Below are 22,035 nucleotides of genomic sequence, written 5' to 3'. Positions count from 1 at the left end.
CGGGAGGCTGAGGCAGTAGAATTGCTTGAACCCAGGAGAAGGAGGTTGCAGTGGGCCGAGATCTGTGCCATTACACGCCAGCTTGGGCGACAGAGTGAGACTGTCTCATAAATAAATAAATTAATTAATTTAAAAGTTTATTAGATAAATGTCTGCCTACAGGATTAAGTCCAAACCCTTTAGTCTGACATTTAACGTATTTCATAGTCTGGTTCCTACCTGCCTTTTCTAAATACTACATCTCCCATTTCTTTTTTCCACCTCTACACCTCATATAAGAAACCTATATTTCAGGCACTCTGAACCACTCATCCTTTCCTTTCTCTCTCTATTGTATCCTCACCTGGAGAGCCCATTCTCCTCTATGGTCTGACAAATTCTTAGTCACTCTTGAGACCTATTTACATCTTCTCTGCACAGGTTACACCTTATCTATTCCTGTATTTTGACACCACACTGTACTGTAATTAATAGGTAAATTTTCAGCCTCTTCTGTTCCTCAAAGGCAAGGATTTGCTTTTATTTATCTGCCTTGCCCGGTGACTCCTACAGTACTTCTTCCATTGACTGGCAAAGTCCGAGCTTAAGTAATTGTTTGTTGAATGGGTAAGTAGCTGGAAGTACTTACCCACTCTCCTTTCCCCCAGCTTTTGCAGCATCTCCCTCCTCCCATCCTCCTCTTCCCCACCCCCGCCCCACCCTAAATTGAATGCCAAAGTTACTGGTCCCCAGGCAGCAGCTAGCACATTCAACGTCTCCAAAGCTACTTTCCCTGCAGGGTTTCTTTCCATCCCCAAGGCGTAATTAGCGACTACCGCTAATCTTTTGCGGGTGGGTAGGTGCGAGGGCCCCCGAAGGGAGCGAATGGGTATGTCTCTCATCTCTCCAATTGCCTTCAGGAATATTTTTTTCTCCATTTTCCCACACACGGGCCAGACGAATATCCCCATTCCTTTGCACTCTTCACAACCTTTGACATAATTATCTATAACAAATTGATTTAAAGTGCGGCTGCAGGAAGGGAAACAGGCATGTCTCGCTTGGCCTTCTGGGAGTTGTAGTCCTACAGGCCCCCGGGCTTCCTGGCTGGCCCTGAAGCTCCGGACTACAGCTCCCAGGCCTCTCCAAGCCCCTACCGCACAGGCTCATAGCCCCAAGCCCGGAGGAGGTGGCTACATTGTGTCTATTGTATCCCTTGGCTGGTGTATTTGTACATCTCTCGGGACGTGAAATTGACAGTGAAAAGTATGGCAGATGAGCAAGAAATCATGTGCAAATTGGAAAGCATTAAAGAGATCAGGTAAGTGGCACGTTGTCCCCCTCCCCGCCCCTCTCCAACCCTTCGTTGCGGGAGAGGGCTAATTATCTATTGTTGGGCTGTTTGTCTAGAGGAGCTGGAAAGGGGCCCATTCACCACAGACTTGCCGGAGAGGTGAGGATGGGAGGGGCGCTGAGGAGAGTTGAGAGAGAGAGAGACCTCTTGCCAGATGTGGCTGAGAAAGCAAAGATGAAGAAACACGGGTTTGGTACCAAGACAGTTTTATTCTTCTCGAGGTGGAGGTCAGGGCTCTGCATTCATGGACACGTTTTTTAAAAGTACTTGTGTGCCCCAAGGTGTCTTTGGCTCCTTGCTCTTTAGGAGTCGGGATTTTTTTCCAGTCTCTTGTTCAACTTCAGAACCTGGAGTTCGGGAAAGGCTTTTGAGAGCCAAGTCTAGCGCATCGGGGCTGGTGGCTGCTGCCAGGGGCTGCCAACTGGGGGTTGCAGAGGAATCTCAGCGGGCGGAGCTGGGAGAATGGCGCGCGCTCGTTTTCCTTTCACTCACTCGCCACTTTCTTCCTTCCTATCCCGCGCTTGGGAGGGGGATGGGAGCAATGGGGACTGGGGACGCGGTCGCTGCGCTGATGGTGGGATCGCGACAGCTGCTCTGAGGAGCTGGAGGTGACAGGCGGGCTGGCAAAGTGGGAGTTGCCGAAGTGGAGTCCGCTACACGGTTGCTCCTGGAGCAGCTTTTGGCAAAGCGATGATATTGTCCTTGCTCAGAACACAATAGCGCCAGGCGGGCTGTGTGGGCTGGCACAAGGTCTTTCTTCACCTCGCCTTCTCAGCGTGAGCCCCTGCTTTGGCTTTTGCTCTCACTCTGAGAGTGGCCTGGGTCAAGCTCTCTCCCTGGAGTGTTTTCTGAGAACCCAAGGTGGAAGATGTCAAGTGTGTTTCTTTAAGAAATAAGACTTTGATCATGAGATTTAACCCTTAGAGTGCTGGATGAGACCTACACATGGTGATTAGTGGTGGTAGGTAAAGCACCTTGGTTTCTTCTTCTTCTTGAGGGGTTGCATCTCTCTTTCTACAGGAGAGGTAAAGGAAGGGAACTATCATTTATTGAGTCCCTTCCCGCCCCTGTGTGCCAGGCCCTTTGACCTACTTTTGCTCATTCAGCAAGAGTCCTGTGAGCTTCCTACTCCTCCTTTACAGCTGGGGAAATAGAGGCCCAGAGAATTTGAGTGATTTTCCCACAGCCACGCAGCTTGAAATTGCCACATTTTGTTGGTCTGCCTGCAAAGGTATTCCTTTTCCCACTATGTCCCAGGTAAAGTCTGGAAAGGAGAAGGGAATATGTTGCAATTTTTTTTTTTTTTTTTTTTTTTTTTGGCAAAAGCATCAGAAGCTAGCTAGAAAGTGAGACACCTTAGTACAGTAGAATGCCAGCTGTCATAACGATGCAGCTAGTCAGAAGCTTAGGCTTGCAAATGGAGAGCCTAGACTTCCACTCTCACCAAGCTTCAAAGGAACCACCACCCCATGCCCAGAGAAGGACCAGTTGTGAGCAAGGACTTTAATCCCCAGTGAAAATAGACCTCTCCCAGTGAAGACCATATGGAGAACCATGACTTCTACCCTTACCAGTGGTAACTAGGAGTTTCTACCTCAACCAGCTAGGATGGAATCAGCATAGGCCCAGAGAGAAGGCCAAACTTTCACCTCTAAACAGCAGTAACAAACAGCCCTTCTCCAAACTGGATGTCAAGAGACAGTGGAGAAACTGGACTTCTACTGTCCCTCTTCCATCCAAGAGAGTGGTAGAGGACTGCTAAAACAAAAGATTTAAATAAGATCCAGAGTATCCAACTTTTAATCAAAAATCACTTTCCATACTAAGATATCCACTTGAATGAGAAGAGAAAATAAACAGATGCCAATACTGAGATAACACCCATGTTAGAATTATCTGATAAGGATCTTAAAGCACCTGTCCTAAAAACATTTCAGTGAGCAGTTACAATACACTTGAAACAAATGATAATGTAGAAAATCTCAGAAAATGAATAGAAAGTCTCAACAAAGAAATATAAAACATAAAGAAGAACAAAGTGACATTTTTAGAACTGAAAAATACAGTAACATAAAAACCCCAAAAAACTCAATGGATAGGTTCAACAGTAAGGTGGAGAAGAGAGAGGGAAAAAATAGCTTACAAATATAAAACAATAGAAATCACTGTGGCACTATAACAAAAGCTTTAACATTTATGCCAACAAATTCCCAGGAGAAAGAGGGCAGGATTGGAAAAGTATTGGGAAAAATAATGACTAAAATCTTCCCAAATTGTGCAAAAGACATAAACATTTAGATTCAAGAAGAGGAGCAAACACCAACATAATTGACACAAAGAAACACACTCCAAAACACATTGTAATCAACCTTCTGAAAATGAAAGAAAAAGGAAACTTCTTCAAAACAGCTGAAGAGAAACAAAAGCTACAAAGGAAAAAAAAAATTAGAATGACAGATTTATCATCAGAAACTGACGATGCCCTAGCATTTTGTAAGTGCTGAAGGAAAAGAAGTGACAACCCATAAATCTATGTCCAATAATAATATCCTTCAGTATTGAATGGGTAATCAAGACATTCTCCAATGAAGAAATACTAAGGAATTTAGATATACCCTAAAAAAAGATGATAGTAAGCTCTGAAAACAGAAAAGAAACAATAAACAGTAAGCAAAAGCATGGTTAATGCAGTAGACTTTCTCTTTCCTCTTGAAATTTCTTGTATTTTGATAATTGAAGCTAAATTTATACTGTTATCTAGTGTGGTCTCAGCATATGTAGAGGAAATATTTAACACATTTATATTGTAAACTGGGGAATGTAAAGGGGATTGTAAATGTAAAGAGATGTAAAGGGGAGGACATGCTTCTACACTTCATTCAAGCATGTAAAGTGGTAATGTCAGAAGACTATTAAATAAATTATGTATACATAATATATTACTGAGAGAAAACACTGAAAATGCTATACAAAGAAATGTACTCAAAACATTATAAATAAATCAATATGAATTTTTAAAAAATGCTCCAGTCACCCACAGGCAGGCAGGGCAAAGAAAATGGAGAAACTAAAATTACGGAGAATGAACAGAAAAAAAAATAAAAAGGCAGACTTAGCCTTCATGTATCAATAATTATGTTCACAACAAATAGTCTAAATACCTTGCAAACATTAATCAAAATAAAGCAGGAATGGCCATCTTAATATCAAATAAAACAGACTTCAGAGCAAAGAAAATTCCTAGAGATGGATATTACATAATGAAAAATAGTCAATCTACCAAGAAGACATAACAATTCCAAATGTGTGTGTTCCAAAAGTGACTTAAATTAAACTGCTTTTGACAATTTTACAGTAATATACAAAGGTTAAGCCACTTGGTTTAAGAATTTAAAATGGAGAAAGTACTATAAATATATACTTGATGTTCACATATGGACAGATAAACATGTATGAGAGATAGAAATAAGGAAGGAGCAAAGGGTCAAAGAAACTGAAGAAAGGAACTAACATTTGTCAAGCACCTTTTAATTTAAAAGCTCCTGGCTCATTTACTCTTTAGTCTTCCCAAAGGAAATCTGGGATAGGAATTATTACCCCCACTTTACGGATAAGGACATTGAGGATCAGACAGATTAGGCAACTTTCCCATGGTTACACAGCTAGGAAAGAAAAAATAATATATCCTCCTATTCACATGGCATGCACATTTCAATGTTATTAACTGCCCTTACAAATGCTGATTATCTGATTAACCATTATTCACAGTTCTTCAACTGCTATAATCCTAAATCTCCTGAAGTATAAGCATAGCAGCATATTTCTGTTAAAGAAATAATGTTTGCTGGACAGAAGCAGGAATGATGACAGCAGCATCATCTAATGACCTATTGAAGTCAAGCTAAGAGCCTTACACACATCAAGACACGAGCCCAGAAATATATGCATTCATACTCAGCACTCACACCAATGGCAGAATTTGCAGTGGGAAAAACATCAGAAGCAGATTCTCCCACCACAGACCATTTTCTGCTTCTAACTCTGAACACACGCCTACCCCTGTCTTTCCTCCCAATCCCAATCACACTCCCACATTATGTTCCCAACCTCAGCCTCCAAATCCTACACTAATCTATTTTGCCCATGTTTTCCTTGGACTTTTAAATGGTGATGAAGGAGCATGTAGATAAGTGGAAGAAGAGAGACAAGAATGGAACAAAAGAAGGGAGATAGAAAAGAGGGAAAGGGAGGATAGCAGTAATAAAACAGAGACAGTGAGTACAGGCACCATTAAATGGACCAGAGCCCTACACCAGCTCCCCAAGTACAAAACAATATTTCCTTAAAATGCACATGCCATCCATTCATGTGTATTGCGTACACTCACACCCCGATGTACACATATCCATACACAAAGAGCTTTCCTCACTTGAAAAAAAGAAAAACCATTTTGGAAGGAGATGTTGAGTTAAGTAGGTACTCTTAAATGAATGTTTCTCGACTGGGTCCTTCTTTTCTTTTTTTCTTTCTACACACTCTTTTGAGTAAATTCCTGTACTTCCATGGCTTCAAATATTATCCTCCAAATCTCCAACCTCTATACCCCACCCACATTCATGCTTTAGCCCATACATATGACAGCCTACTGGGCTTGTCCGCCTGGAAGTTTCACAGATAAATCTCAGCTTTATATCTACGTCTCTTCCTACAGCAATCAAGCTCCTCCCCTTAAACCTTTGGTTTAATACCACCATTCTCTGCACAGTTACCTCAGATGGCAATCTGAAAGTCAATGTTGACTCCCCTTTCTCTTTAATGACTCACCTGCAATCACTTAGTTAATTCTATTTCTATCCTGAATATCTTACCCAATACCTGCCCCACTCTCCACCTCCCAGTTCACTGCTCCATTTCAGGCCTTCATTATGAATTGGCATGGATATTTGTAATGCAGTATCCATTTCCATCTGAAGAATTACTTCCCTGTCTACAGTCTCTCCTCTGTCTGCAATGGCATCCACATTGCCTTGAGAACTACCTTCCTAAAGCATGGTTGTTATTTTATTTCTCAAACATCTTCACTAACTTTTCATTGTGTATGACAATCTTTTTGAAAAATACAGGCTGCGTCCCATTATTAGCTCATAAAAAGAATTTAGTTGGTCACTAGTAGCATTTTTAAAAAACCTTTTTTAAAATAAAAAGGAAATTATCAACATACATTGCATATGAAGTAGTAGGTATACTTTGGAGAAGGTTTTGTTTAGTTTTAAATATGTGTATGTGTGTATTGTGTCATGAGGTGAAATTCATTTCTCACTTACGTCATTTCTTACTGTGTCTCTGTTGAACACACATTTACCTATCGGTGTTTCCATGGCATTCATGCTGCCTCCCCGGAAATCTGTCCCATACCCACTATTCTGACCTTATCTGCTACTGCTTTTTATTAATCCTATCCTTTAGCCATATAGAAGTTCTTACTGTTTTATATATTTCCGTTCCACCAGACCTTTGCCTCTGCAGATTCCTCGTTCTAGAATGCCACTCTCCCATTCCAAGCATCTAAATCCTACTCATTTTTCAAGGAAGACCCATATGAAATGCCTCGTCTTCTCCAAAACCTTCTCGAGTTCCCCAGTCAAAATGAATTACAATACCCCAACCACAGACTCCACAGGGAGATTTATTATAGCACTCAAGTTATCCCATCTAATGATGGAATTTTGAATTGATATCCTCCCTTCCTTCCTCCCTTCCTTCCTTCCTTCCCCCCTCCCTCCCTCCCTCCCTTCCTCTCTTCCTCTCTTCCTCCCTTCTTCCTTTCCTTCCGCCATTGGTGTGGCAGTCTTGGTAAGCTCCTCTGTTACCTGGCTTGGGGATTGACTCAGAACCAGTGCTTACTCAAGACCAAGGCACAGGACAACTGGAACCTCTGGGACTTGTGGATGGGCAAATTAAGCCAAACAATGCTGGCCACAGGAGAGACTGAAAAGGTGTTGGCATTTGGTATTGAGATGTAAGAAAGTTATCAGAATGAACTGTTATAAGAAATCTACTTTGCTGACAGTAGCTTTGTTTCCAGTTGAGCAAATAAATATTACATGGAAGAATGCTTAGTACTTAGGCAATATTCTCACCAGACTGGAGTAAGCAGGAAAAACTAGCTCCTTTGTGTTCATTCAGTGACATTTACTGAGCATAAATCTGGGCCATAATCAGGGCTGGGCTATCCTTTGGTGGCCCATCACTTAGGATAAATAAGACCCATCAGAAGGATCTTCTAATCAAAGTCAATAGCTCTGATCTCTCCCTTGAGTTCCAGACTCACATATCTAACTGCCCATTTAACTTACACCCTTGCATGTATCACTGGCATCTCAAACAGGCCCTCAACTCCAGCCCCACCCCTAAACATTTTTATTTCCCAGTCTTCCCCATCTCAGTAAATGCCTCACTATGCTGAAATCTGGAAGCCATTCTTTATTCCTCTTTTTATGTGACCCTCTCCATCCACACCATTAGCATAGTGGTTATTATACTTGACCATGCAGGAGGTTACACCTAAAGGGCTTTTAAATCATTGATTGCTGAGCCCCATTTCCAGGGTCTCTGATTCAGTAGATATGGAGTGGGGCCTGAGAATTTACATTTCTAACAAGTTCCCAGGCAATGCTGCTGCTGGTGGTGCAGGGACTACATGTGGAGAACAACTGCATTAGTAAGACCTGGCCAGTTATACCTATACAATATAATCTGGAATTGTCCACTTCTCATCATCCCCTCAACTTATTAACAAATACCAGCACTTTTCCATCAATCTCCAGTAAACAGTATCTTTTCACCTAATTTTCCCATCTTCAAGGCCTACAGGTCCCAGCTGTCCTACCCTGCTTTTTGAGTGTGCATTGGGGCTGAGTCACCTCTGAAACTGGGTGACAGATGAGCCTGCCAAGTTTGTCCCAGCAATGGATGATCCATGGCCCTAGAACTTCTCCTTCTTTGCACCTGTCCTCTTCCATATTTGCCAGAAAGAAATCATTGAAAAGAAGGTATCCAGCTGAATGTTTTATAGTCTTGGCTCAGGAGACTGTCTGGAGAACCTGTGGCCTAGCAGTCTGCTATGATTTGAATGTACCCCAAATTTCATGTGTTGAAACATAATCCTACCATTTTGATGGTATTAAGAGGAGAGACCTTTCGGGAAGTAATTAAGTCATGAAGCCTCTGCCATTATGAATGGATTAGTGCCTTAGAAAATGACTTGGAATGAGTTTAGACCCTTTTTTGTACTTCTGTGATTCCACCATATGAAGACACAACATTCACTCCCTCTTGAAAATGCAGCAACAAGGTGCCATCTTGGAAGGAGAGACCAAGCCCCTCACCAGACACCAAATCTGTTGGCACATTGATCTTAAACTTCCTAGCCTTCGGACCTGGGAGAAATAAATTTTTGTTCTTTACAAATTACCCAGTCTGTGGTATTGTGTTATAGAAGCACAAACAGACTAGGACAGGAGCTCAGGAATACTGGTCCAAAAGTTACCTAAGACTGTCATCCTGGTGACTGTAGAAACCCTAAAGTACCCTGAAAACCCTGTGGTTTCCCTGTGGTTCACGAGTCATACTAGCTGTGCTTTAGCCTCTTGGAAAAATCTCATTAGGAAATTTTATATATAAAATTGCATCTTTAATGATCTGGATGGCTTCCTCACTTGTAGGGCCAAACATTCCACAGATTTCATCTCATTGAAGCATCCAACAATTCCATGCAAGGCTACACTGAGTCCTACTTTCCAGGTAGAATTTCCAAGGTGCCAAGAGATTCCATGAAGTGCACTATTTCACCCTGAAAATTGATGACTGAGCCAGGACAAGAATTCACCCTACTGGCCTGGTTTTTATGGCTTTAAATCCATCATATGATGAAAGTTCCTTGTTGTGATGGAAAGGTGATCAGATTTACAACGCTGGATTTTCCACTTCCTGAATTTGTCTTCTTGGGCAAGTCACTTTACTTCTCTCAGCCTCAAATTCTTCATGTGTGAAAATAAAGTGAAACATACCTGCCGATATGGTTCTTATGAAGATTAAATTTTGATAGCATAAAAAGTGCCTAATACAGTTGCTGGAACATAGTAGGCACCACAAATATAATAGCTATTGTTATTAAATAAAGCCTTTCTTAACAGACGGTTGCTTTCAGTTCCTGTCACTTAGATAGATTCTTAATAAATATGAACCAAATGAATGAAATCCTTGCCACCCATGGTAATGTCTTTTCTTCTCTGAGGCTACTGATGCTATAATCACTCCCCTGGATTTACTACCTACCATTCAGTAGTTTCTCATTCCAAATGTAATGATTGAGCCCCGCTTATGGCCAAAGCAGAATGATAGGTGTTGTGGAGGTTAAAGAGAGAAATATGGCATAGTGCCACTGTCTAGAAAGCCCTCGTGTATATAATTACTCTGATTTCAAGTTGCTTCATGCATAAATCTGTACTTTTTAGAGGACCCAGAGGACCATGACTATGTGCCTTGTGCTAGTCCCTTTCCCATCCTGGACCTTTATTTATTCACCTCTGAAATAAAGAGGATAGATTTCATGGGTGACTTTGAAATAATGTTCTGACGAGCCCAGGGAATTCTAAGGAGGGTTTTAAAGGGCCACTGTGATAGAGTCAGGTGGTGGTTGAATTTGAGGACAGATTAATGACTCTGGGGGTCCCACTTCCACTTTAACCATAACAGTTATGATTTGTTCCATTTTCTATATTGGATCTCAATCAGTTATTTTATTTGAAGGAAGGGATCTTATCATTCATCCACAAGAACCAGCGCACTTCTGGATAAATGGTGCTTGCTTAATACAATTTTTAAGTCTGCTTGATTGATGGAAGTTTGTAAAGAGGGAATTTGGTATTGTGAGTACATCTAAGCAGTGACTGGCATGACACTCTTTGTAGATTAGAGAGAGGAAGGGCCTTTTATTTAGATTTAATCTTAGCTCAAACTTCTCAATTGCTGGACAGAGAATGGAAGGCTGGGAATTAGATGCAAATCCTGAAGACCATAGTAAAGGCAATCTACCTCAAATGCAACAAATTATTTATTTATTTATTTATTATTAAGCCATTAAGCTCCTTCTCATTTCTCCTGGCTGCCTTAATCAGCAAACTTTAAAAAAATCCATTCCCTCTACGTAAGCCTTTTGACAAGTCATTTATTTTTCTGGGAAAACATGAGCATGCTTAGAAGTTATGTTTAGTGGGAGTTGTAGGTTTAGATTTAATTCTGGGTGCAGTAAGAGGTCATTACAGGATAATTTGAGTTATATTTTATATACCATAGGAAACATCCATTTCAAGTGTACAATTCAGCATGTTTTAATAAATTTAAAGAGTTGTACAATCATCACCATAATATTTTAGAAAATTTCCATCATTCCAAAATTAGCTCTTTGTTCAGTTTCAGTTGATCTTTGTTCTTATCCACAGCCCCAGGAAACCTGTAATATATTTTCTGTCTAAATAGAGTGGCTTTTTCTTGATGCTGCATATAAATAGTTATACAAATGTGGCCTTTTGGGTCTGCCTTCAGTCACTTAGCTTATTGTTTTTGAGATTCATTCACATTGTAACATGTAACAGTATTTCATTCCTTTTTGTTGACAAATAATATCCCATTGCATGGATATCGCACATTTTGGGTGTTCACTCACAAGTTGAGGAGCATTTCAGTTATTTCCACTGTTTTGGCTCTTATGAATAATGCTGCTCTGCACATTTGTGTACAAGTCTTTTTGTGGAAAAATGTTTCCATTTCTACTGCTTAGATTCTCAGGAGTGAGATTTCTGTTTCATATTGTAAGTATATGTATAACTTTTTAAGATACAAGTGTTTTTGAAAGTGGATGTCCTAGTTTCCATCCCAAGAGGGAGTGTATGAGGGTCCCAGTTTCTCTACATCCTCAACAATACTTGTTAGTGTCTGCCTCAAAAAGGCATTATAGCCATCCTAGTGGTGTGATGTGATAGCTCACAGTAGTTTTAACTTGCATATTCCTAATGACCAATCTTGTTGAGTATCTCTTCATGAGTTTATTTGCCACCCATATATCCTCTTCTGTGAAGTGTTTATTCAAACCTTTTGTTCATTTTTTAACTGGGCTGTTTGTTTACTGATTGTGAGTTTTGAGTGTTATTTACATTTTCTGGAAACACATTTTTACCAGACACTTGATTTGCAAACATGTTCTCCCAGTCTGGGACTTATCTTTTCATTGTCTTAACAGTGTCTTTTGAATTACAATGTCTTTTTTTTTTTTTTTTTTTTTGCTTCTTTGTTTGAAACAGGATATCACTCCGCCACCCAAGCTGGAGTTCAGCAGTGCCATCGTGGCTCACTGAAGCCTTGAATTCCTGGGCTCCAGAAGTTATCCCACTTCAGCTTCCCCAATAACTGGACTACAGGCTTGTGCCACCATGCCTGGCTAATTTTTCTTAAATATTTTGTAGAGACAGGGTCTCACTATGTTACCCAGGGTGGTCTTGAACTCCTGGGCTCAAGCGATCCTCCCGCCATGGCTTCCCAAAGTGTTCTGATTATAGGTGTGAGACACCGCACTGAGCCAGAAACTTTTAATGTTGATGAAGAAATCCAATTTATCAGTATTTTTTATGGATTGTGAATTCTTGTGCCATTTAGGAGAAATGTTTGCCTAAGTCGTATTCACAAAGATTTTCTCCTATATTTTCTTCCAGAAATTTTATTTTTAGGTTTCACGTTTAGGTCTATGATCCATTTTCACTTAATTTTTTTGTATGTTGCAAGGTACGGGTTAAGGATTTTCTTTTGCATTTGGATGTTCAGCTGTTTCACTATCATTTGTTTGAAAGACTTGTCCTTACATCTGTGGGTTTATTTCTGACCTATCTGCTTCATTGCTTTATTTGTGTATCTTTATGCCAATAGTTTGCTGATTTGATTACTATATCTTTTTAATAATTACGGAAACCAGGTCATGTAGGTTCTCCAACTTCATTATTCTTCCTCAGAAATAATTTTGACTATTCTAGGCGCTTTGAATTTCTATGAGTTTTAGATTCCCCTTGTCAGTTTCTACCAAAAACCATACTGGGATTTTAATAGGATTTTGTTGGATCTGTAGATTAGTTTGTTAGATTTCACCAGTGTGTAATGAAATAATGTCCTATTTCTGTTCTAGGATCTAACCCAAGATACCACATTGCATTTTTATGATTCCATTTAACTTATTTTATGACTTATTAGCTATAATGCTGTTTTATTATTTCAGTGGCTGCTTTAGAGTTTATAATATACATCCTTAACTTATCACAACCTACCTTCAATTGAGCGCATAATACTGCACATATAATGTAAGAAACATACAACACTATATTTCTCCCTTTCTGGCCTCTGTGCTATTGCATTTTGGTACTTTTTGGTTTAAACTGTTGATTATATTTTTAAGTAACTTAATTAAGGAAGAAAATAATCATGATATTTTTCTATGTAGTTACCATTTTCAGTGCTCTGTATTCCTTTGTTTTGATACATTTCCCTCTGCTATCATTTTCCTTTTGCTTGAAGGACTCCCTTTAACATTTGTGGTAGTGCAAGTTTGCTGATGATATAGCATTTTACCTTTCCTTGTGTGAAAAGTTCTCATTTTACCTTTGTTTTCAAAGTTGTTTTCCCTGGGTAAATAATTCTATATTGGCATGGATTTCGTCCGTACTTTAAAAGTGATACACCACTGTCATCTTGCTTCCAACATTCTTTGATACTCTTTGTGTAACATATCCTTTGTTTCTGACTCCTTTACTGGTTTTGAGCAATTTGATTATGATATAGCTTGGTGTGATGTTCTTTATGGATTTTATGCTTGGAGCTTGATGAATCTATTGGATCAGTGGGCGTGTAGCTTTAATCAAATTTGAAAGATTTTTGGCCATTTATTCTTCAAATATTTTTATCTTCCTCTTTCTTCTTGGTCTTCAGTTACCTGTATTTTTAATTCAATTTAATTTAATTTGATTTAATTTAATTTAATTTAATTTTACTGTGGTAAGGTCACAGAACTTGAGATCTACCCTCAACAAATTTTATATTTATAATACAGTATTGTTAACTAGAAGCATAATGTTGTACTGCAAATCTCTTGCAGTTATCATCCTGCACAACTGAAACTTTATACATATTGAATAGCAGCTCTACGTTTCCCCCTCCTTCAGTTCCTAGCAACTGCCATTCTACTCTCTGCTTCTAAGAATTTGACTATTTTAAATACCTCATATGAGTGGAATCATGCAGTATTTCTCCTTCTGTGATTAGCTTATTTCACTTAGGATTATGTCCATGTTATCTCATATTGTAGGACTTCCTTCTTTTTTAATGCTTAATAATATTCCATTGCATAAATATACTACATTGTTAATTCATTCATTTAGGTTGTTTTCATATCTTGGCTATTGTAATTAATGCCATGATAAACACGGGAGTGCAGATATCTCTTTGAGATCCCGATTTCAATTCTTTTGGACAAATACCTAGAAGTAGGAGTGCTGGATTTATATATTTTTATATATTTATTATACCTGTTGGCCATGTTTATGTTCTTTGGAATAATGTTTATGGAACTCCTTTGCCCAGTGTTCAATCGGGTTAATAGCTTTTGTACTATTGGTTTGTAGGATTTCTTATATTTTATACAAATTAATCCATTATCAGATATATGATTTGCAAATATTTCATCCTTTATGCAGTTTGCCATTTTACTCTGTTTATTGTTTCCTTTGCTGTGCAGAAACATTTTAATTTGATGTGATCCTACTTGGTCATTTTTGCTTTTGTTGCCTGTGCTTTTGGTGTCATATCCATTAAATCATTGCCACAAGCAAAGTCTTGAAGTTTTTCTCTTATGGCTTCTTGTAGGAGTTTTGTAGTTTCAGAAGTTATGTTCAGTGTTTAATACATTTGTAGTTAATTTCTGTGTATGGTATAAGATAAGGGTCCAATGTTATACGTTTGCATGTGGACATAGTTTTTCCCATAGCATTTATTGAAAGGACTATCATTTCTTGCATTGTGTATTCTTGTAAACTTTGTCAAAGATCAAGTGACTGTATGTGGGTGGATTCATTTCTGGGCTCTCTGTTTTTTCCCATGGCCTCTATGTCTGTTTTTATGGCAGTACCATACTGTTTTAATTACTGCAGCTTTGTAATATATTATAAAATCAGGGGATAAGATTGTTCTGGCTACTTGGAGTTTACATGAATGTAAAAAAAAATGCCATTGGGATTTTTATAAGGATTATATTGAATCTGTAGATTGCCTTGAGTAGTATGGTTAAGTCTTCCAATCCATGAACATGTATGTCTTCCCATATGTTTGTGTCTACCTTAATTTCTTTCATCAATACGTTATAGTTTCATTTATTGCTAAGTATTTTGTTCTTTTTGGTGCTATCATAAGTGGGATTGTGTCTGAATTTCCTTTTCAGATAGTTTGTTGATAGTGTACAGAAACACAACTGACTTTGTATGTTGATTTTGCATCTTGTAACTTTACTGAATTCATTTATTAATTCTAACAATCTTTTTGGAATTTTTTGGGTTTTGTACAAATAAGATTTTGTCAACTGAAAACAGCAATAATCTTACCATTTCCTTCTCAATTTTGGTGACTTTTATTTCATTTTCTTGTCTAATTGCTCTGGTTAGGTCTCTAGGATCTATGTTGAATAGAAATGTCAAGAGTGGACATCCTTGTCTTTTTGCTGATCTTTCAGTGTTTTACCATTAAGTATGACTTAGCTGTGGGCTTTTCATATATGGCTTTTATTGTGTTGAGGTAATTTCCTTCTATTTTTAGTTGTTGAGAGTTTCTATCAGGAAAGGGTGTTGAATTTTGTCAAAGGCTTTTTCTGCATTTATTGAGATGATCATGTGACTGTTATCTTTCATTCTGTTGATGTGATATAGCACATTAATTGACTTTTGCATGCTGATCTCTCCTCACATCACAGGGATAAATTCCACTGGCCGTGTTGTATGATACTTTTAATGTGCTGTTAAATCAGTTTGCTAGTCTTTTGTTGAGGATTTTTACCTGTATATTCATCAGAGATAGTGTCCTCTAGTTTTCTTTTCTTGTGGAATCTTCATCTAGCTTTATTATTAGGGTAGTGCTAGGCTCATAAAATGAGTTTGGAAGTGTCGCCTCTTCACTTTTTTGGAAAAGCTTGAAAAGGATTGGCATTAACTCTTCTTTAAGTGTCTGTCAGAAGCCACCAGTGAAGCCAGCTGGTCCTGGCCTTTTCTTTGTTGGGAAGTTTTTAATTACTGTTTCAATCTCCTTACTAACTACAGGTCTATTCAGATTTTCTATTTATACAGGACTCAGTCTTGCCAGATTGTATGCTTATAGGAATTTATCCATTTTTTATGTTATCCAATTTGTTGATATGTGATTCTTCATAGTAGTCTTATGATCCTTTCTACTTCTTTGGCATCAGTTGTAGTGTGTCATCTTTCATCTCTGATTTCAATTAGTTGATTCTTTTCTATTTTCTCTTAGTCTAGCTAAAGATTTGTCAATTTTGTTTATTTTTTCAAAAAAAACCCTCTTAGTTGCATTAAAAAAATTTGATTCTTTATTTGGCTTATTTCTGCTCTCTCTTCATTATTTCCTTCAAAACTGACCAATAAATCACATGGTTAATAGAATTATTAGCTGATGACATTAAAAGTTATTATAAATCCATTTCATATGTTCAAAAAGCTTGAGGAAAAACTGACCAAGTAGAGGCATGGCAGAAATAAAAAAGATTCAAATAAAAAGTCTATAGATGAAAACTATTATGTCTAAGATCAAAAAATTTCTTAGTTTAGAAAAAGAGGGAGAAAAGATTAGTGAACTTCCAGAAATAGTAATAGAAATCATCCCAAACAAAATACATAGGGTTAAAGATTTTTAAAAATAAACAGTATCAGCAAATTGTGGGACAACTTCATTTGGTTAAAAATACAGATAACCGTCATTTAAAAACAAAGAAGAACATTATGTAATGATAAAACAGTCAATTCACCAGAAATATGCAACAATTATAAATATATATACACCCAATATCAGAACACTGAACTATATAAGGAAACATTGACAAACTGATGGTAGAAATAGACAGAAAGACAATAATAGTAAGAGACTTCAATACCCCACTTTTAATAATGGATGGAACAGTCGGACAGAAAATCAATAAAAAACAGCAGGCTTAAGAAACACTACAGACCAAATGGACCTTACAGACATATAAAACATTAAACCCAAGAGCAACAGAATAGATACTCTTCCTAACTGTACACAGAACATTCTCCAGGATAGAACACATTAAGACAATTAGCACATCTTAACAAATGTAAGAAGATCAAAATCCTACCAAGTATCTTTTCTGACCACAGTGAAATTCAACAGTAGAAGGAAAACTGGAAAATTCACAAATACCCATCTTAAGGGTTATATTTTTCCTGCTTATTTGTACATCTGGTAATAGTAAAGTGTGAATGGATGCCAGAAATAGTGAATTTCATCTTGTTGGTTGCTGCATGTATTTGTATTCCTATACTTAGTATCAGTTTTATCCCTATAAGTCTTGCTGTTAAGCATAGTTAAGTGGAACCAAAGTAGTGCTTTGTCTAGAAGTCATTTCCCCAGTACTAATGCAAAACCTTCTTTGTATTTTAATGCTTTATGAATTGTGAAGTTCTTCTACCTTGGCTATTGGAAATAGGTCCATGTGGGCTCTGATCACTGTCCCCTTTGGGTGGTTATTTTCCTGGCCTTATGTAGTTTTCTTATACACGTGTGCTAATCAATATTTAACTGAATAATTGGTGGAGTTGGATCCTCTGAAAATTGAGAGAGTCCCCTTTTTTTCATTAAAAAAAAATTAAAACGGTGCTATTGCAATAGAGTTCTCTTTCTACATAGGTCTACACTCTCCAAAACTCTTTTCTGAAAAATTTTGATACCTTGGCTTCCCCAGAGTCATGGCTCCATTTTTTTCAATTGAAGGAGACTAGCAGGCTCTGACTGAGTTTCCCTTCCCTGCAGCCTAGAATATTTATCTAGGCATGAAGATATAGCCATCTTAGGGCTCATCTAAGCCTTTCCATCTTTTGGAGATCACTGACCTTACTTGCCTGAAGTCCAGTGACTTAAGTGCTATTTTTTCATATAATTTTGTCAGTTTTTTTCTGTTTTTAGTTATGCCTGGGAGGGTAAATCAGGTCCCTGTTACTCTATCTTGACTAGAAGTGAAAGTCAAGGTTATTTCTCAAATATGGTTTCAAAAGATCAGATTTTGTCATTTAAGACACATATTTTACATTCAAAAATGTAAAGTCAGGGTGTGTCTTAAAATCCATTGGTGTTTTAATCATGCTTAAACATGTGACTGCTGTTGGCCAGGATACAGTTGTGGTGGTGTCGTCAGTATCTGAGCACATGTGAACTTTGCCATGACTATTCATATTGTCTTCTCTTAAACTGAATTATGTCCATGGTTGCCAACATGTACTGTCCATAGTTGCCACCATGTATTTAGGTTGTCATTTAAAATGTCCTCAAAAAGATTTCACCATGATTCTCCATCAAAATAGAAAGCTATTTTGTATGAAGAAGAACTCAGACCAGAAAAGTCTGATAAAAATAATCTCTTAAATAAGTCTACATTAGGTCTTTCAATTTGTATAAAATGTAAATTTTGAATTATAAGAAAACAATTTGTTATACTGTAATTGGTAGCATTTTTTCTTAGTAGTGTACAAAATAATGTGTACCTTACATTCAAAGGCATCCTAGATTCAATTAAATAAAATAACTGATTAGCCAGGATATTAATAATGCTAATCTAAGAAAGTCCTAAAATAACAGTGTTTAAAACAAGACAGTTTTAATTCTCCCTCACATTATTGATCTGGGAACAAGGTATTTGTGGTTTGTGGTGGTGTTTGATATTGGGGACCTAGGCTATTTTTATATTGTTGCTTCACTGTATACAGGGTTTCGCCCTCATCTATATGATTCAAGCCCACTGTTGTGTACACATTTTATCCAATAGGAAAATAGCAATGGGAATGGTTCTTCCATTTATAGTCACAATCCAGAAGTTGTAGACATCATTTCTGCTTCCATAAAATTGGCCAGAAAGTTGTCATATGGTCACAAATAGCTGCAAAAGGGATGGGGTAATATAGTCCTTATTTCAGACAACTTCATGCCCAGCTGAAAATCAGAGGGTCTATTGCTATAGAAAGAGGGGAGAATGAATTTGGGGAGACAGGAAGTATTGTGTTGTTTAAGAGAGAAATGAGATCAGCTCAGGGTATATTCTGCTACAGGTCTCCAATTGGGTGCCACCCCCAGTACCTTCTTAATTCTCCATCTTTCTGAATGCAAACACAGATACAAGAGCCCTTATGCACTGCTGGTAAGAGTATGAACTGTTATAGCCATCCTGCTGAGCAAATTGGCACTGCTTAATCAAAGTAAGAATGCACATTACCTGGGCCCCTGAAATCCAACTCCTGGGATAAATCACCCCCCACCACCACCAAAAAAAAATTACTGAGACAGGTACAAGGCTATTCACTTAAATGTTATTTTGGAGGTGGGGAGATTGAGGCAAAGTGGGAGTCTGTCCCTGGAAGAGTCAACAGATAAAATGTGGTTGATAGCCATATATAGAAGCAAGGAATTCTGGATATTAACTTGAGATTGCTGTGTGAAAACCATATTTTGGAAATTGGCCAATATAACAATTTTTATATACACATATATGTACATATATACACACACACAAATACACACACACACACATATACAGGCATGTGCCATATAATGATGTTTCAGTGAACAATACACCACATATACCATAGTGTGGTCCCTGAAGATTACAATGGAGCTGAAAAACTCCTATCACCTAGTGACGTACCCACTGTAACATCATAGTGCAATGTATTACTCACGTTTGTGATGATACTGCACTGCCAGTCATATAAAAGTCTAGCATATAAAATTATCTACAGTACATGATACTTGAAAATGATAACAAATGACTATGTTACTGGTGTATGCATTTACTATACTATACTTTTTATCATTATTTTAGAGTGTACTCCTCTTACTTATTAAAAAAAAATAACTGTAAAACAGGTTCAGGCTGGACTTCCAGGAGGTATTCCAGAAGAAGGCATTGTTTTCATATTCCTTGAAGACTTTCCAGTGGGACAAGATGTAGAGTTGGGAGACAGTGATATTGACAATCCTAACCCTGTGTAGGCCTAGGCTAATATGTGTGTTTCTGTCTTTATTTTTATTTTTATTTTTTTTTATTTTTGAAACCTGGTCTCACTCTCTCACCCGGGCTGGAGTGCAGGGGCATGATCATGGCTCATTGAAGCCTTGACATCCCAGGCTCAAACAACCCTTCCACCTCAGCCTCCCAAGTAGCTAGGACCACAGGCATGCACCACCACACCTGGCTAATTTATATATTTTTTTAATAGAGATAGGGTCTTCCTATGTTGCCTAGGCTGGTCTCAAACTCCTGGCCTCAAGCGATCCTCCTGCCTTGGCCTCCCAAAATGCTGGGGTTACAGACTTGAGCCACTGTGCCCAGCCTGTATCTTTATGTTTAACCAAAAAGTCCAAAAAGTAAAAATAAATAAATAAATACAAACATAGAAAAAACGCTTATGAAATAAGGATATAAAGAAATAAAATATTTTTGTACAGCTGTACAGTATGTTTTTGTGTCAAGCTAAGTATTATTGCAAAAGAGTTGTTAAAAGAAAAGCTTCAGCCAAATTAAATTTAAAGGAGGTTAATTGAGCAATGAATGATTCATGAATTGGGCAGCCCTTAGAATTACAGCAGATGCAGAGAGACTCCAGCACAGCCATGTAGTGGAAGAAGATTTATAGACAAAAGGGAAGTGACATACAGAAATCGGAAGTGAGGTACAGAAACAACTGGATTGGTTACAGCTCAGTGTTTGCACTATTTGAACACAGTTTGAACCCTCAGCAGTGTATGAGTGGTTGAACTATGGCTGCTAGGACTGGCCAAGACTCAGCTATTGTTACAGGCACATACTCCTAAGTTACGTTTTCAATCTTGTCTACCTAATAAGTTAGGTTATGCTTTGTCCTCATGGACTCAAATGTAGAAGTACAGTCCTTCTCAGGCTATATTTAGTTGGCTTTAACAATTCCTCCCTTTTGGTTACTTTCTCAATTTTGAGATGTTGACCAAAACTTTAGTCATTGATGTCACTATCACCATTGTAAATGTACTTATTTGGTCTTGAAACCCACTGGAAAACAGTAGAACAGTGGGTTTTACAAGGTGGGAACAAGGACAGAGTAGAGGGTACCTCCTTATGCTGTAACATCCTGTTTGCAGGAGAAAAACAAAATCTGGTCTGTTCTAGGATCTATGTGTTTCCTTAAAGTCTTAGTTTGATTATGTCATATTTAGTATGAGTGACTCCATGTTTGTTTGGTTTGGTCTGTTAGGGCCTAATGCAAGAGCTCAGTCCAAAACAATGGCCTCCCATAATTTTGTTTTAAAACTCTACTTTTCGGGTCAGGTTCTTACTTAGGTGAGGGTGTGACCAAAACTTAGGGCCTTAGTGCCACTCTGTTACCATCATTTTGGGTTTCTGGTCTCAGCGTGTAATTCATAAGTTACCATGTGTTCATGGTTGCATATTTTTTTCAGCTCTTGTCATCCCAGTTGAAGAGAGACCATTTGATATTCTATAGATGGCTGCATGCAAACATTTAAAACTTTTGAGAGAATGCAGCGCACAAGGGAGACTACTATTATGACTATTGGGAGGATAACACCAACAGTTTGTAGTATGCTCCTTACCCAGGGTTCCCATAAATCAAACCACTTAAAATTAAATAGATTAAAGAATGGGCTAAAGAGTCTACTCACTTAACTAAGCAGTCTTTCCATTAATCCCCTACAACTGAATTTTTATATTCTACATTTTATGTATTTCTCCATAGGCGACAAGTGCCAGCAGCTGCACAGATATTTTTCCATTGAGCCAATGCTATTATTTAGTATAACTTTCACAAGAGAATTTAAAGTCTGTTGTGTAGCCATAGCCTTTACAGTAAAATCTGCTATAGAGCCTATCATGAGGGATACATTTTTAATCATTGCTTCTTTTACTCCAAACCAAGGAAGAAAGATCTAACAAATGATGTCCTCTAGAAGAGTAAAGGCCTCCTCATAATGTTCACTTTAACCCATGATGTGGGTTAAGAGGAGTGAACCAATGTTCCCTTTCTGACTGATTATGAGGCAACGTGTGTACCGTTAAAGCTTCTTGTCTACATTGAGCCTTCGTCTTTTATCTGTCAAAGTATAAGGTTATCCATGTATAAGGCTGGCTGCAAAATCCTTCACAAATAAAAGTATACCCCATAAGTACACACAACAGACCCTCTTTTCACTTCTATTCTTCAGAGGCATAAGCAAGGAAAAAAATAGTTAGACAAGAATCTCATGATGCTAGAGAAGTCTTGATCTTTGATCTTGGGAAAAGCTATTCACATCAGAGATGCCATCTTCTTCTGGGGAGAAACTTCCCA

General features: G+C 38.0%; 1 protein-coding gene across 5 annotated transcripts in view, besides 1 other annotated feature; it reads left to right on the top strand.

Moving 5' to 3' along the window:
• The window catches only part of ZC4H2 (zinc finger C4H2-type containing), a 118,935-nt gene that overhangs the window by 57,117 nt on the left and 39,783 nt on the right, over nucleotides 1–22,035 (top strand). For 3 of the 5 annotated variants that reach the window (NR_045044.2, NM_001178033.3, NM_018684.4), the window contains exon 1: nucleotides 1,175–1,300. The exons of the other annotated variants lie outside the window; for them this stretch is intronic. Coding sequence is in view for 2 of the 3 variants with exons in the window: in NM_001178033.3 (NP_001171504.1) it covers nucleotides 1,248–1,300 (53 nt within the window). In the remaining variant the exon portion in view is untranslated. Of the gene's footprint in view, nucleotides 1–1,174; nucleotides 1,301–22,035 lie in introns of those variants that run through there. 5 annotated transcript variants of the gene reach the window in all.
• Nucleotides 1,112–1,655: an enhancer, noted in NCBI's record as "H3K27ac hESC enhancer chrX:64195850-64196393 (GRCh37/hg19 assembly coordinates)". NCBI's record gives its function as "activates a minimal SCP1, AML or CMV promoter by ChIP-STARR-seq in primed H9 embryonic stem cells {active_cell/tissue: H9 hESC(primed)}" and the evidence as "EXISTENCE:reporter gene assay evidence [ECO:0000049][PMID:30033119]".

This window comes from Homo sapiens, chromosome X (genome assembly GCF_000001405.40).
Source record: "Homo sapiens chromosome X, GRCh38.p14 Primary Assembly".
Lineage (NCBI taxonomy): Eukaryota > Metazoa > Chordata > Mammalia > Primates > Hominidae > Homo > Homo sapiens.
This window is presented reverse-complemented; position numbering and strand designations above follow the sequence as displayed.